Genomic DNA, 15,593 nt, shown 5'->3' on the forward strand with positions numbered 1-15,593 from the left:
CATAATAAGTCACCTTTTATCTAAAGATCTCTAAAGGTGCAGAGTTAAGCCAAGGGCTATTGAATAAAGTCTGGAAATGCCATTCAGAAAGTTTCTGCTCCACCAATGCATTTGAGACTCTTGCTTTTCAGCCAGCCAGGCACATGGAAGCTCCCACGTGGGCAGGGAATATCCCACTGCCGGATTGAGTCACACCTCACTTCCCACCTTGGAAAGGATGAAAGCCACCATTTATGCCTGCCTCTATGTTTCCATCACTGTGCTTAGCACCCAACACGTATTGTTTTCAACTCTCTCAGCAGCGCTGCAATGTTTGTATTGTCATTCCTGGTTGGTAGTTGAGGAAACAGAAGCTTAAAGGGTGGTGAGCCCCATAAGTAAGTGACTGAATTAAGGATTTGCAATCAAGATTGTTGGACTCCAAAATCCACTGCCCTTCTACCCCTCCATTTCACTTCATGGCTTGGCCTCGAAGTGGACTCTATTCTGCACCTCAAGCAACTGCATTTCTTTGGAAAGTCATTGGACTGGGATTTTGTAATCGGCATTCATTTTCACCCCTTTATTATGCTTTCTCCTGAAAGAAGCCTGGAATACTTTTCCTTATACTCCCTTGCGCCAGGGTTCTGGATAAAATTTGCATTCTGGATGCAATGAGATGCATTTCATTCAACTTGAAAGTGGAAGCTATTCTTCTCCTCCCAGCCTTGGCACAGAGGCATGGGCTGCACAGAGAAAAGTTTGTGCAGCAACATCCATGCCCTCTTCCTGGTCCCCATCTCGATGCTAAGGAGGTTCTGTGAATTTGGAACCAGTTTTCTGTAGATCTGTTTCCTCTGGTATCCTCAGAGTCAGCACCTCTCTGACTCTGTACCACAATTATGGCAGGGAGCCTGAAAGCTGATAGCAGATGCCTAGCCTTTCCAATAATTTTGTAAGCACCTAAATCTCTGCTTGAAATCCTTCAAGTTGTTTCCAGTTTCTTGTCTGAACGTTGACCAGTGTTGTCCTTACCTTCTTCTGCATGCTTCTTTTCTTGTAAATGCTATTTAACTATAAATTTACTGCTAGATCCCAGGCCCACCCTTCTTGTCTTCTTACTTAAGACATTTCCTGGGATATCACATATCTACGGCTTCTGTTATCATCCATGTGCTGATAACTCCCAGTTTAACATTTCCAGCCCAGACCCCTATTGTGAACTCCCAAATTCAGACAGCCAAATCCAGACTGGACATGTTCACATGACTATCTTATGTGTATCCTGCCCCAACTACTATTGCTTTACACCAAACTATCCCCCAAAGCTTAGCAATGTAAAATAACCATTTTATTATGCTCACAGATTTGTGTGTCAGGATTTCAAAGAGGACACAACAGAGATGCCTGGTCTGTAATGCATCATGCCTGGGAACTCAACTGAGAAGTTTCAATGTCCAAATTTGACAATTTGGACCTAGAACTCATCTGCATATACCTTCTCTCACATGTCTGGTGAGATGATGTTCCTGTTAGCTGGGACCTCCACTGGGATATTGGCTGGAAGGCTTGCACAGGGCCCTTCCACGTGATTTCTCCACATGGGCTAGTTTGGACTTCCTCACAATATGGTAGCTGTGTCCTGGAGTAAGCATCCCAAAATAACAAGGTAGAAGTGCATAGAATCTTTATGTTCTTGCCTTGGAGGTTACATAGCATTGATTCCACCATATTCTATTGTTCAAGACAGTCACAAAGGCCAACCCAGGCTCAATAGAAAGGACTGTAGACCGCCCTATCTCTCATGGTGGACATGTCAAAGACACATTGTGAGAAAAGCATGTGGAATACAAAACAACATTTGAACCATCTCTGGAAAATACAATCAACCACACTTCTGAAATGCAGTACTTTCAAAATAAAAAGTGTTACCTTTCCTGCCTCCCTAGTATGCCCGCTCCTTATTTTTTGCCTTAGTGAATAATGCTCATTATTATTTAGGTGTTATTATTTTTTATTATTAGAGATAATGCCATTATCCCTCAGTCACTTGAGCCAGAAGCTTAGAAGTCAATATAGAATCCTATCCTACCCAGTCACACCAAAAACCCCTCCAAGCTCACTTAATTTATTACCCAGTTCTTCTAATGTTGCCTTCTAAATATATCTGGAACCCATATGTCTTAGCCTGTTTTGTCCTGCTATAACAAAATACCACAGACTATAATTTCTAATAAACAAAAATTTATTTGTCACAGTAACAGAGGCTGGGAAGTCCAAGACTGGCATCTGGTAAGGGTCTTCTTGATGCATCATCCCATGGCAGAAGGCTAAAGGGCAAGAGAGGGCAAAAGAGAGAGACAGAGTTAAAGTGGGTGGAACTCCCCCTTTTATAATGCAATAATGGCACTAATCCATTCACTCTACCCTCATGGCATAATCACCACTCTTTAGCCCTCACCTCTCAACACTGTTGCATTGGGAATTAAGTGTCCAACACATGCTTTTTTGAGGACACATTCAATCCACAGCACCATCCCCTCCTTTTATCCCTGTTGCCTTAATTCAGGCCATCAAATTCAGCACCATCTTTCTCCTTGTTTCTAGCTTCCCCCACTCCACCAACTTCCAGCCTCTAACCCATTGCATGAGCTGCTGTCAGAGTCATTTTCTAAAATTCAAACCTGATCAAGTGATCTTTTCTGCTGAAAAAGCTTCGATGCTCCCCAAATTTCCTAATTTGCTGTGGCAAGACATCTACACCAGCTCCTGCTCTACCTGCATTCTCACACTGAACTCTCTGACAGAGCCACACTTACTCTCCAACCATATGGAGCTATTTGTAGATCCCCAAACTCACTGAGGACCCTTATACTACTGCAAAACCCTTCTGCATGGAACTCTCTCTGCTCTCCTTTTTCTGTCTATCTTCTCTTTGTCCTGCAAGAACTCAACTAGGTAATTTCCTCTCCCAGGAAGCTTTCATAGTATCTCTTTGTCCTTTGCCTACTTTTTCTTCATATTTGGCTTAACCATTAGTTTTCTTTGATTTTGGCTACCTTCCAATTCTGATTGCTTTGATGATATTATGTTATATAGAACTTTAAAGCTGAAGGGAATCTCAGCAATCATGGACCGGACTCTCTTAACCCCTACTCCACCTCTAAAGAGAGCATCTTACAGCCTGTATCCTTAGCACCTCAGTGCCTGGTGTGCAGTAGTTTTTCATTATGTTGTTTAATTGAATAAATGTCCAAAAGTTTATAGCCAAGTTCAGAGGTTATGGTTTTGGAAACCATACATGATTGTCAACTTGATTTGAGTTGCCTAATCAGAAGGAGGCAGGTTGAGAACTTTCCCTTGGGCCCTTGTGGAAACATAATCCTCGCTCCCAGGGATACAGAAATCTCGTTTTAAAATGAGATTTCTCATTTTTAAAAGATCTTCAGTTTCCTATTACTGATTTCTCCAATGAAGACATTATTCATGTATGACTCACGAGTTTTCGGGATCCATCTAATTTTTTTCTAATTTTAAACCTTCTTCCTAAAATGAGAAAAAAAATCCACAGGATTTATGGTGACAAGGAAGTTACTCCAAAAATCCAAACCAAAGAAGATCTTGTTTTCTCTCTTATTTTCTCAAGAGTATTTAATTCCTTCTTATAATGTTACTAAAGACAGAGTTTTATATGGACTAAGAAAACCACAGCACGTCTTCAAAGTAAATGTAGATGTGTTCATATTTTATAAACTAGCCATCCACATCCCTAATAAATAAAACAATTACAAGCTTTTAGATTCCATATCTAGCTCTTTAATCCAAGAGCTTTCTTGACAAAGGCAAGGTGTTGAAATAGTAAAGTGATCTTTTTGTTTCTCAGAATGAAAAACAGATTAAGTGTTAAAAAATAGAAGAGAGACGGTAGTAACAAGGACACTTCATTTCCTTCCTTCTTCTGCCTTCTATAGAAAAGAAAAAAGGCAAGATCATCTCTATTGTGACCACCAGCATTTATCAGGTTTGCCTGCTGTCACTGTAATGATGTATAGTGTTCTAAAAGGAAGAATCCCAGGAAACTGCTTAGATCACTCTCTCTAGTAGAATCAAGTAAGGAGTGATAACTTTTCCTATAGCAAGTTCCAACTACACTTTGAATCTAAAATGTAGAAAAATATTTAATTCTTATGAGAATGGAAGAAAAGGCCAAGAATTATTACAGTGGCTTTTTAAAAATTATAATAACTTATACTGGGTAATTCAAAAATATAACACTCATTCATTGTAAAAAAATTTAGAAAATATTGTTTAACAGCAATAGAAAAAAAAATCTCCTATAATCACATCATCCAGAGATAAATATTGTTACCGTTTTAGCGGTTTCTCTCTCGCTCTCTTCCTCCCTTCACTTTGTGTGTGTGTGTGTGTGTTTGTGTTTGTATGCTATGTATGTATAAACTGGACTCAAATATATATATTAAGAAAATGAGCTCACATTCTTCTTTTTTTTTTTTTTTTTTTTTTTTTTTTTGAGACAGAGTCTCACTAGTCACCCAGGCTGGAGTGCAGTGGCTCGATCTCGGCTCACTGCAGACTCCACCTCCTAGGCTCAAGTGATTCTCCTGCCTCAGCCTCCCGAGTAGCTGGGACTACAGGTATGTGCCACCGTACTAGGCTAATTTTTTGTATTTTTAGTAGAGATGGGGTTTCACCACATTGGTCAGGCTGGTCTCAAACTCCTGACCTCAAGTGATCTGCCCACCTCAGCCTCCCAAAGTGTTGGGATTACAGGTGTGAGCCACTGTGCCTAGCCTCATATTTGATATATTGTTTTATAACCTAAGTTTTAATCCCTTTTAAAATAATTTTAATAAATTAATTTAATTGAACCATTATGCCAATGTAAAAAGATAGAGTATTTAACCAATTCTCTGCTACTGGGCAGCAATGGCTTTTTCTTTTTTTCCCCTGAGACAAGATGTCACTCTGTCACCCAGGCTGGAGTGCAGTGGCACAATCTCGGATCACTCCAACCTCCACTTCCCATACTCAAGCGATTCTCCCAACTCAGCCTCCCGAGTAGCTGGACCACAGGTACATGCCACCACGCCCAGCTAATTTCTTTATATTTTTGGTAGAGATGGGGTTTCACGGTGTTGCTCAGGCTGGTCTGAAAGTCCTAAGCTCTAGCCATCTGCCCACTTTGGCCTCCCAAAGTACTGGGATCACAGGCATCAGCCATCACACCCGGCCAGCAATGGCTTTTAAATGATAGATTTGTTTGACATTAGTGGCTGGCCAAGCTACTTTGGGTGGGAATTGGAAGAAGACTGAGCAACCAGGTGGTACAAAAATCTGGCAATTTCTACCCAAAACTGGGCATCTACCAGTTACACTGCATTTTCCAGTGGGTGTGAAAAAGTAGGGGGACACAACCCTGGTGGGGCACCCCTACCAGAGTTTCTGTCTGGGACTTGGCCTGCTCTGGTCTGAGCAGATTATGTGACTCTGTTGTCAGCATTCTTACAGAAAAAGAGAATTTCCTCCTTCCTTATAAATACAAATTGCCCTATTAAAAAATAAATTCAATAGACCAAAACATGGACTCATAAAAAATAAAGTGGAATATGACAATTCACATTTTAAAAGGATTCTTTGTCCAAATCACTCCCTTCTGAAAAATCTTCCAAACACCCATTGCTCTTGATACAGAACTCCTTAACATAGCATTAGGGTCTTTAAAATCAGAATTATCTCCAACTACTCCCAACCCTCAGTACTCAGTACCTCATATTCAAATTACACCCAACTACTAGCTTTTTCTTTGGAAATGCTATGAAAGTTTACATTTTGCTTCGTAATATTGTCTGTCTTTGATGCCATGCTCTTCCTTTCACTTGCCCCAGTTGGAAAAATCCCACTCATCTCTTAAATCCAGCTTTGTGTATGTGTGTGTGATAAGGAATTTATCCTTGCCCTCTGGGACCCTGGTGTGTCATGCCTGGTAGGAGTAGTATCCTTGTTTGCCTGGGGCCTTTGGTTATGCAGAATAGTCTGACATTGTGAATTTAGTGTATAGGCTGGCCACACCAACTAATATTTAGAGTGGGGGCTGACCAAAAGACCAGCACTATAAGGTAGGGTGGAGGCTTTGAGACACATGGTATCAGTTGACTTAGAAACTGAGATCAACGATATGGGCAATCAATTAATTATGCCTATGCGACGGAGCCCCAGTGAAAACTCCGTTGAGGCTCCCTAGGTGGCAATACTTCACGCCACACGTTGATGTTGTTACACATCAGTGCTGAGAAAGTGAGGCTGTCCATGACTGAGCAGGGAGAGGACAATGGAATCTCTGTGTTCAGTACTTCCCCAGGCTCTGCTCTATGTACTTGGCTATTTTTTCCCTGCCTGATTTCAATCTGTGTCCTTTCCCTGTAATAAACTGTAACTGTGAGTGTAGCAGCTTTCAATGAGTTCTGTGACCTTCTACAGAACTATCAAACCTAAAAGTTTGAGGACCCCCTGAACTTTCAATTTGAGTTAGAAGTGAGGGCAGCCTTGTGTAGACTGTGCTCCCTCTAACTTCGTGGTTTAACTCTCACAGTGTGGCCTCCCCTAAAGAGACTCTTCTGACTTCTCCAGGCCCTTCCTCTGTGCCCCATGCCTTTTCATACCATATAATAACACTTATTTCAGGATTTATGCTTATATTTGTTTCCTATCATCATACTTGGTGGCTTAAAGCAGCACACATTTATTATATTATAGTGTCAGAATCGGTTTTACTGGGCTAAAACCAAGCTGTGAGCAGGGCTGTGCTCCTTCTAGAAGCTATAGAGAAGAATCTGCCCTTTGCCTTTTCTGGTTTCTAGAGGTTGCCTGCATATTTTGGCTTGTGGTCCCTTCTTCCATGATTCAAAGCCAGCAGCACAGTACACTCAAATCTCTCTCCTATTCTGACACTCCTGCTGCCCTCTTATAAGGACCCCTGCTATTACACTGGGACCATCCAGATAATCTAGGATAATCTTCTCGAGATTCTTAGCTGAACCACATCTGCAAAGTCCCTTTTGCCACGTAAGGCAACATATTGAGAGTTTGGGAGGATTAACACAAGGACTTCTTTGGAACAGTCATTATTCTGTTTACCACAATGCTTGATTTTTTAATCCAAAATTCACTTCACAGTTTATTTAGATATCATAAACCCTCTATTTGCATTAAAGTAACTAACAAGAATTATAATTATTTACTTGGGAATTATTGTTGAGATTCCTTAATCTATTCACAATGGCAGCTATAGGGTCATGTAAAGATCAGCTGAGACAATTAATATAAATCACTAAGAACAGTACCTGACACATAGAAACTGCACAAATAATGTTGGTTTATTATTATTATTATTATCATCATGACTATTATTGTTATTATTACTATTATATATCTCTTATACATAATGATGGGGCAAAGTATGGTAAAAGTCAAAATGTCTTCCTGAAAGAGAAAAAAAGTCAAATGTTTACTACAGATTTTAGAAAGTGTGCAAGAAGCAATAGGATCTATGGGAAAGGAAGAATGGCAATAAGTTGGAGGCATTTTATTCATTTAATAATCTTACCTTGGAGTATTTATCCATATCCATTGTATATGGATTGTTCAGAGCAGTTTGTAATCAGCGTTGAAGCAAAGCAGAAGGCAGAAAGATTAACACTGCCTTTTTCTAGTCCACTAGTGAGTCTGAAGCTGGTGGAGAGAGGAGCCTGCCCTCTGTGTGAAGAGGGACAGATATAATTCCCACAGAGCTTCTTCAGAAGCTCGCCCACGCCCTCCAGGTTCCTACCTACCTCACTGCCTATTCAAAGTCTGGGGACAAAGTGAATAAGGATAATGATGTGAAAGTAAATACAACATGTTGGTAATTACTCCTAGGTTCTGTCCTTTCATAAAATCTAAGAAAATTGCACTTTAAATGTCTATATTCATAATGCAGCTGTGATATATTCATTCTGGTATTACTTTTTTGTCTGTCTGGAATTTTAAAAAAGGTGCATTTCATTGGAGAACAGTACATTTTTTATTTTAAGTGGAATAGAAAAAAATTGATTTTTTTCTAAGCCCTAATTGCAAACATGTCAAATAACATGTCACATTTAAAGGCTGTCATGGGAGCCAAACAGTGTAATTGTATATGGACAGTGCTATCTAATTTAGCTGGGTTAGTATGATTTACTAGGATGTTTTGCTATTGGTTGCATTATTTAGATCTTTGATAATCTTCTTCTTTTCAATGGTAATCTAAATCTGGAAATACTCACTTTTTTTGGCCTCAAGAGGTCATTTTTGTCAATCAAATTATCCGGATGCACCAGAAACTGAGCCTGAAAAAAAAGGTGCAGAAAGAAGAGTCCCAGCAGGCTAGGAGTTTACAAAGCAGAACACTGGTGTACAAGCACAAGATAAATGTGCTGGTTAGGGCTTTCTGGGGTTTGTTTGCATGTGTTCTATGGAACTCTGTAATTGTGGAAAATTCATGACCAAATTTATTTTTTTCTCTCAAAGTCCTTTGATTTCCTAATATTTCTTAATAAAATATTAATTCAGGTCAAAGCATTAGTTTGCCAAACTTGGATTGGGTTGCAGCATATTCAATACAATTTGTTTTCAATAAGAATTGAAAGCAAGCTATTTCTAAGTCACATCCATGTGGTACATTAGATACATTTTTAAATCTTTGAACTTGATCCGTGTAAATGTGTCACTGTGTTTATGGGCTTACAGCCCTGTTATGAGAACCTCTAGGCTTATAAAATGAAAGTATGCTTTGCCACAGTTGAGGTGCTCATAAATGCATTAGTACCGATGGCTGTGGTTTGGAACTCTTCATCAGGCATCCACATCCCCTTTCATCAGTTCCAAGCTTCATGCTACATGCAAGCATAGATGTGAACATCAATATCAACTGTCTGAGGAAAAAGCAGCAGCCTAGTCAAAGGCAGCTGGTGCTTCATGAAAAAGTCTGGGAAAACACCCCATAAATAACTGCATTATGATACATACTGTAGCTACCAAGACACTTTCTTTCTTCTAAATTTGTAGTGAACTTTCAATCTGGAAGTTGTCATGTTGACAACAAAAGTCTTCCCATGAGCGATTCATAACCTGGAAACTAGCTTCTAAGGTAGCTGGGTTTGTTAACATCTGCAACAACTTGAAAAGGTGTTTTTTATCTGAAAGAAAGGAAAAATGGTCTATGAAAGGAAATCCTTTAAATAATGAGGTGGGTGGCTCTGGACATCATACAGCTATGGAACTCTTTGCTGAAGCACTCTATGGAAAATACAAAGATTCTAGTTCTATACCACTAGTAAGTCTATCAATAGGCTCAATATTATCACTTAGTGATAAGCAGATCTTGAAAAGGAAGAAAAGTAGAATTTTTGAAACTACAATTAATTGAAAAAGTGGATTAAAGCACTGAGTGAAAAACACTTATGAATATATTCCTTATTGTTTAACCTATGACATAGACATGTGCATTTGTCCATTTCTTCATTTAACGCTATTTATTAACACTGTGTATGTACTAATTGCAATTCTTTGTTGACTTTATTTACACACCAGACCCAGAATGCATCATCTGTCATTTCTATCTCCAGTTTCTTTAAAACACAGTGAGAAATTTGAGAGCTTATGATGTAATCTTAGTCCAAGATCCATCTAGATTTGTATGAAATATTTTTCCATTTTTTATAGTTTCTCTTGCCTGTACTATATTTGAGGGCAATTTTTTTAAACAACATGTTGTACCAAGACTGCAAAACCCTCACTGCTCTTTCATTCAGGCCATTTCTCAGGGTTGTTTATGCAGCAACTTTGAGAGAGGAGATAATGTCTCCTCCCAGACAAAGGGTAGGCTTGCTTACTGCTTGCTATAAAAGAGAAAGATTCCCTAAATTCAATGTTCCTTATCTGCAATACAAACTAAATGCATTTGTAGCATCCATGGTGCCCATAACATTGCCCTGGTGAGACTCAGAAGTGAAAGAAACTGATGCAAATATGCTGATGCTCCTGTTGCTTGCAGTGCTGTGAATAATAGTCGAAGCAGGTTTATGCTGGTTAAGATGATTATGTACAATCAGTTTAGACAGCACATACTATGCAAATAAAGGGCAATACTTATCTCACTTTAATAAGAGTGAGTGAGTTGAAGCTGATTACATCATATAAATAATGACCATCATGAAAAGGGGTAATAACCATATAGTTGGTCCCAAAATAAAAATTCATGAATATAAAAGAAAATTAGATATGCTCTTCTATTCTTAGATTTGTTCCCTAATAATAGTTGATTCTTAGTATTTTCCAGAACAATTAGGCAACCTTCAATAGGATTTTTAGGAGTGTTAACAATCCTGCCATGCCATAGTCATTTGCTTGGTCAAGTCTAGATTTGATTCCTATTAGATGTCACAACACACATATGAAAGTAAAGACTTTTAAGAGAGTATAGGCAAGAGTCGCCATATAACATTCCTTCCACATAAAATCGTCTGTTTTCCATTGGATATAATCAAATTAAACTGTGAGGAAAATGAAAAGGCATAGTTTCTTCTATCCAACTACTTACTACATTTTATGAGCATAATACTTGTCTCCTATTAAAAGTATTAATTTCTGGATGCCATCAACACTGTATGCTATCAAATTATACATGTTTGATTTGATTTTTATAAAATCAAAATTATTTTATGTATTAATTACAAATATTGTAGGTATGTGTTGTAGAAAATGAGGACTACCCAGAACAATACAAGGAAGGAAATTATCAATGATCTTCACTATTATAGAATAGTCACTACAATTTTATTGGGTATTTAGGTTGTTCTCAATTTTTTTGCTATTATCTTCTTAAATGTTGTATGTTAAGATAGCACTGTAGGCCAGGTGCAGCGGCTCACACCTGTAATCCCACTTTGGGAGGCCAAGACAGGAGGTTTACTTGAGGCCAGGAGTTCACGAGCAACCTAGGCAACATAACAAGAATCTGTCTCTACAAAGAATAAAAAAATAATACTAGCTAGATGTGTTGGTGCACACTTGTAGTCCCAGCTACTCAGAAGGCTCAGGTTGGAGGATAGCTTGAGCCTGGGAGGTCAAGGCTGCAGTGAGCCGTTATCACACCACTGCACTCCAGCCCAAACAATGGAGCAAGACCCTGTCTCAAAAAAAAATAAAAATAAAAATAGCACTATGACAGATAAACCTTTTAAATCTCAACAGGTTAACACAGTAGAATTTTATAACTTTATTTATTGCTCATGTACTATCCCAACCAGTGTTTCTGATCATCAGGTGACTGTCTTCCAAATGATGATCCAGGGATGCAAGATCCTTTCATATCATGGTTCCGCCATCTTTAACATATGGCTTCCAGGGTCACCATGGAAAGGGAAAGAGTATAAACACTCCTCAGTAAGACTGGAAGTGGCACACATCACACATCACTTCTGCTCACATTCCATTGGATAGAGCTTAATCAGATGGCCACCTCTAACCACAAGGAAGGCTATGACATATATGTTAGCTGTGTGTCCTGGAAGATGAGGAAACAGGCTTGCTGGTTAGCTAACCATTTCTGCTACATATTGGTTGTACATAATCCTTGTGGGTAAATCTTCTCAAAGTCTTAATTATATCTTTAGAGAAATTTCCAGAAATGAAGAATAATTTTATTATTTTACAAATATTTTGAACATATATCAGATTTCTAACTTCTCATCACAGCCTTAAGATATAGATTGAATATGTTCGGATTCTTATCAGGAGTCCTGGTTTACTTGAAGCTGTAGGAAAAAATCATGAATTGGCAGACTTTATGCCCTGTGATCATTTTCTTGATAATAAAACATTGATGAGAAGCTAGACTTTTTTAGGTAAATGTGTGTATGTGTGTGTGTGTGTGTGTGTGTGTGTGTGTACCAGAGTATAGTTAAATATCATATGTAAATGCATTCCAGTTATTTTTAGAGGTATATTCACATTTCTACAAAATTTTACATGTAAGAGAATCATTTCCTTAAATATAAATTTCTTCTGAAAAATTATTTTAAAAATTGAATATGCCTATAACTTAAAAATTCAAATATGATACTTTTGAATTTGTAGTTTCTTATTCGTACATACCAAAAGTCATCCTGAAATTATGTTTTATTCTGTATGTATTCTCTACAAAAAATAACCAGCAAAAAAAGGCAAATTCTAACAAGGGTGAATATAATTCCCTGGAATCTAAAATATAAGTTGCTGTTAACAGTGCTTAATATATGTTTGCATGTTTCCTCTACCATGAAACCTGCTCCCCTGTGCCTTCTCAATTGTTCACAAATTTGATAATTGCATTTACTTCTTTTTGACAATTTTCTCTAGCTTTTCTTTTAATGATTATATGTTCACTTAAATTATTTATAAAATGGATATTTTCACACAAACAGTTTACTGGATTATTTTCTTCCTCAGTACTAAATACGGCATTAACTTCTTTTCTGTATTTCCTCTTTAAAGTGACGGTTAACACTTAACAATAATCCTGTCTTGAAAGAGAAACTACGGTTCAGAGACTTGAACCAAATGAAATATCGATTCAGGTTGGAGAATATTTTGATGTTTTAGTTTTGTTACAGTTCAGTTGTTTTAGAAAATATGTAGGTTTGGATTTAGTTCAGAGTGGTTCACTGGGTTTTTTGTTTTTAATGGATTTGATTTATAGTTCTGTAAAAAGTTTAATATTGGGTTTAGGTCAGAGAGGACACATTCAGCAAAATAGTTGTTTGTTTCCAATTTTGGTTCATGGATCATTACAAGGCCTTGGTGTTGTAGTTCTTTCCAGAGCCACAGCATGAAGTTTGCACCTCACTATGGAGTCTTCCTTTAAGAATACAATAGATGTTATTCACTCCCAGAATTGTGAGCACTCACAGTAGACCTCATGCTATTATACACATCCTACGTGACATAGAAAGATAGAAAAAAGTTGCATGTTGGGGAAATAGTTGAGTCTTAAGCTATGACAGAATTTATTCTTTATTTTCCTACATATGGATAGGAAATTTCCTATAATCTCACATTTCAAATCTTTACAGCCTAAATTTTCAATTGATTTCTTCTTTTTTGTCTATTTAACCATGCCTTTTAGTGAGCTTTGCTTTCAGAACTTTGCAAACTTTTAGGAGACTCAACGAAAAGCTAGTGCCCTAATCAGTTCCATCTTTTTGCTCTTATTTTAATGTCTAAATGTGGCAAAGGATTATCAAGTTATTAAGTAGAGAGGTAGTTGTAGTAATATTCTTCCAGCCTAGGAATGTTTTATACAAAGCTACACTTTAAAATATTCGTGGGGTTGTCATTGAGTATAATAATATTTAAGGTGAAGAAAGAGGGCAAAATCCTCTCACTAAAAAAACTCTTTAAAGGCTGGATAAATAGTAAGGAGTGTGTTTAATACAACTAATTTATAGATAAATGTGGTGCCAAGCTAGAATACATTAACAAGGTAAGGCTTCAGGGTCTCTAGGTAAGATAATATATTGCTTTCATTAAAAAGCAATCTGCATGGACGATATCCACCACCACTGGAAACTCTGCAGTTGTCACCTTTATCAGGGGAACAAGAGCAAGCCACTACATTTTAATCACTGGAGTTTGTCAGGAACGAAAAACAGCCAGCTTCCCACAAATCAACAGACATGTATCCTGATAAGGGAAGTGCATTGGAAAAGGACAGCTACATACCACATGACACCACCTATTCCAGGGTGATCAAAGCTCCATAATTGTTGAAGATAAATCTACTGAATTGGGCTTTAGGATGAAATAGTTGTCTTTGAACAAAGTAGACACATACTTGTACAAATTACCCACAACTTAGAACACTGTTAGATCTAAGTATATTTTGCAATGTGGGAAGGAATGAGTGATAGAATGGCAAAGCGTGGGGCATCGTCACACTATACTTGTTCCAATAACTCATTTCTGGCTATATGATCCTTTAATCAAATTAAGAAGATATCGTGAAAAAACTGGAATAAGAGTCAGTCAGAACAAGACATCTGAGTGGAAACAAGACACTTGCATAAATGAGACAGAAATGGGGAATTATTTTTTGACATGCTCATACCTCTTATACCTGCACTTAGGGAAACAGTGAGACTAGCCCCAGCCCAACAACGCCATCCCAGACCTGTTCCAGTTCCTCTGAACATAGGTCCTCACAATAGAGCTCTTTGTTCAAGGTGGCTTGAGAGGGTCTTTGTACTTTCAATATAAGAACCTAACTTTAAAAAGAAAATGTTACAAACAAGCAACAACAAAGCAAAATCTGGATATATCTAAACACTACCATATTTTTAAGGACTGTTGCATCACAATGAAAAAGCTGACTATAAGATAGAAATGCAGAGTTGGCCAAACAGAGGTTAAAATGTATGAATAAGAGTGCCTCGAAACCAACGACAGCTTAAAGATCAGCTTACAGCTGAAGTGAAGATCAACTTACAGCTTACAGCTAAAGACGATGAAACGTGTGAGGATAAAACAGGGTGGGGAAAAGAGGATCAGTTACTCACAGGGGGAGAAAACAAGAAACTGAAGTCTAGCTTTGGAAGCCATCCAGAGTCACAACCTAGGGGATTGTGATCTATTTTAAAAACTCACATAGGTCTATAGTCTCTGGCTTAAATTATACTTGTTGAATGCTAGCTACCCAAATATCATTAGAATAACCTGTTAAGAAGACAAACCTGAGTTTATTGCTTATCAAAAGAGAACATCAACTTCACAGACTTTATTGTTATTATTTTTTAGAGATAGGGTCTTGCTCTGTCACCCAGGCTTGAGGGCACTGGTGTGATCATAGCTCACTGCAGCCTCGAACTCTCAGGCTCAAGCAACCCTTTTGTCTCAGCCTCCCAAGTGTCTGGGACTACAGACACTGCCACCATGCTGGTCTAATTTATTTTTATTTTTGGTAGAGACAGGGTCTTGCTATGTTTCCCAGGCTGGTCTTGAACTGCTGGCCTCAAGTGATCCTTCCATCTCAACCTCCAGAGTAGTTGGGATGGCTACAGACTTTTTTAAAAAAATTTATAAATAGAGGGGAGATTCATGTAACATAAAGCAAACCATTTTAAAGTATACAATTTAGTAGCATTTAGTACATTCGTAATTTTGTACAACCATCACCACTAATCTAGTTCCAAAGATTTTCATCATCCCCAAAGGAAATCCCATAAATATTAAGCAGTCACTCCCTATTTTCCTACCACCACCACCCAAACCACTGGCAACCACTAATCCGCTTTCTGTGTCTATAGCTTTACCTACTCTGGATATTTCATATACATGGAATTATACAATGTGTGACATGTTATATCTGGATTCTTTCACTTAGCATAATGTTTTTGAGGTTCATCCATTTTATAGCCTTTCTTATGGCTGAATAGTGTTTCCTTATATGGATAACCACATTTTGTTTATTCATTCTTCCATTGATGGGCATTTGGGTTTTTAGGTTTTTCTGTTTGTTTTCAGCATTTGGCTATTGAGAATAA

The sequence above is a fragment of the Homo sapiens genome, chromosome 5 (assembly GCF_000001405.40).
Source record: "Homo sapiens chromosome 5, GRCh38.p14 Primary Assembly".
In the NCBI taxonomy this organism is placed as follows: Eukaryota; Metazoa; Chordata; class Mammalia; order Primates; family Hominidae; genus Homo; species Homo sapiens.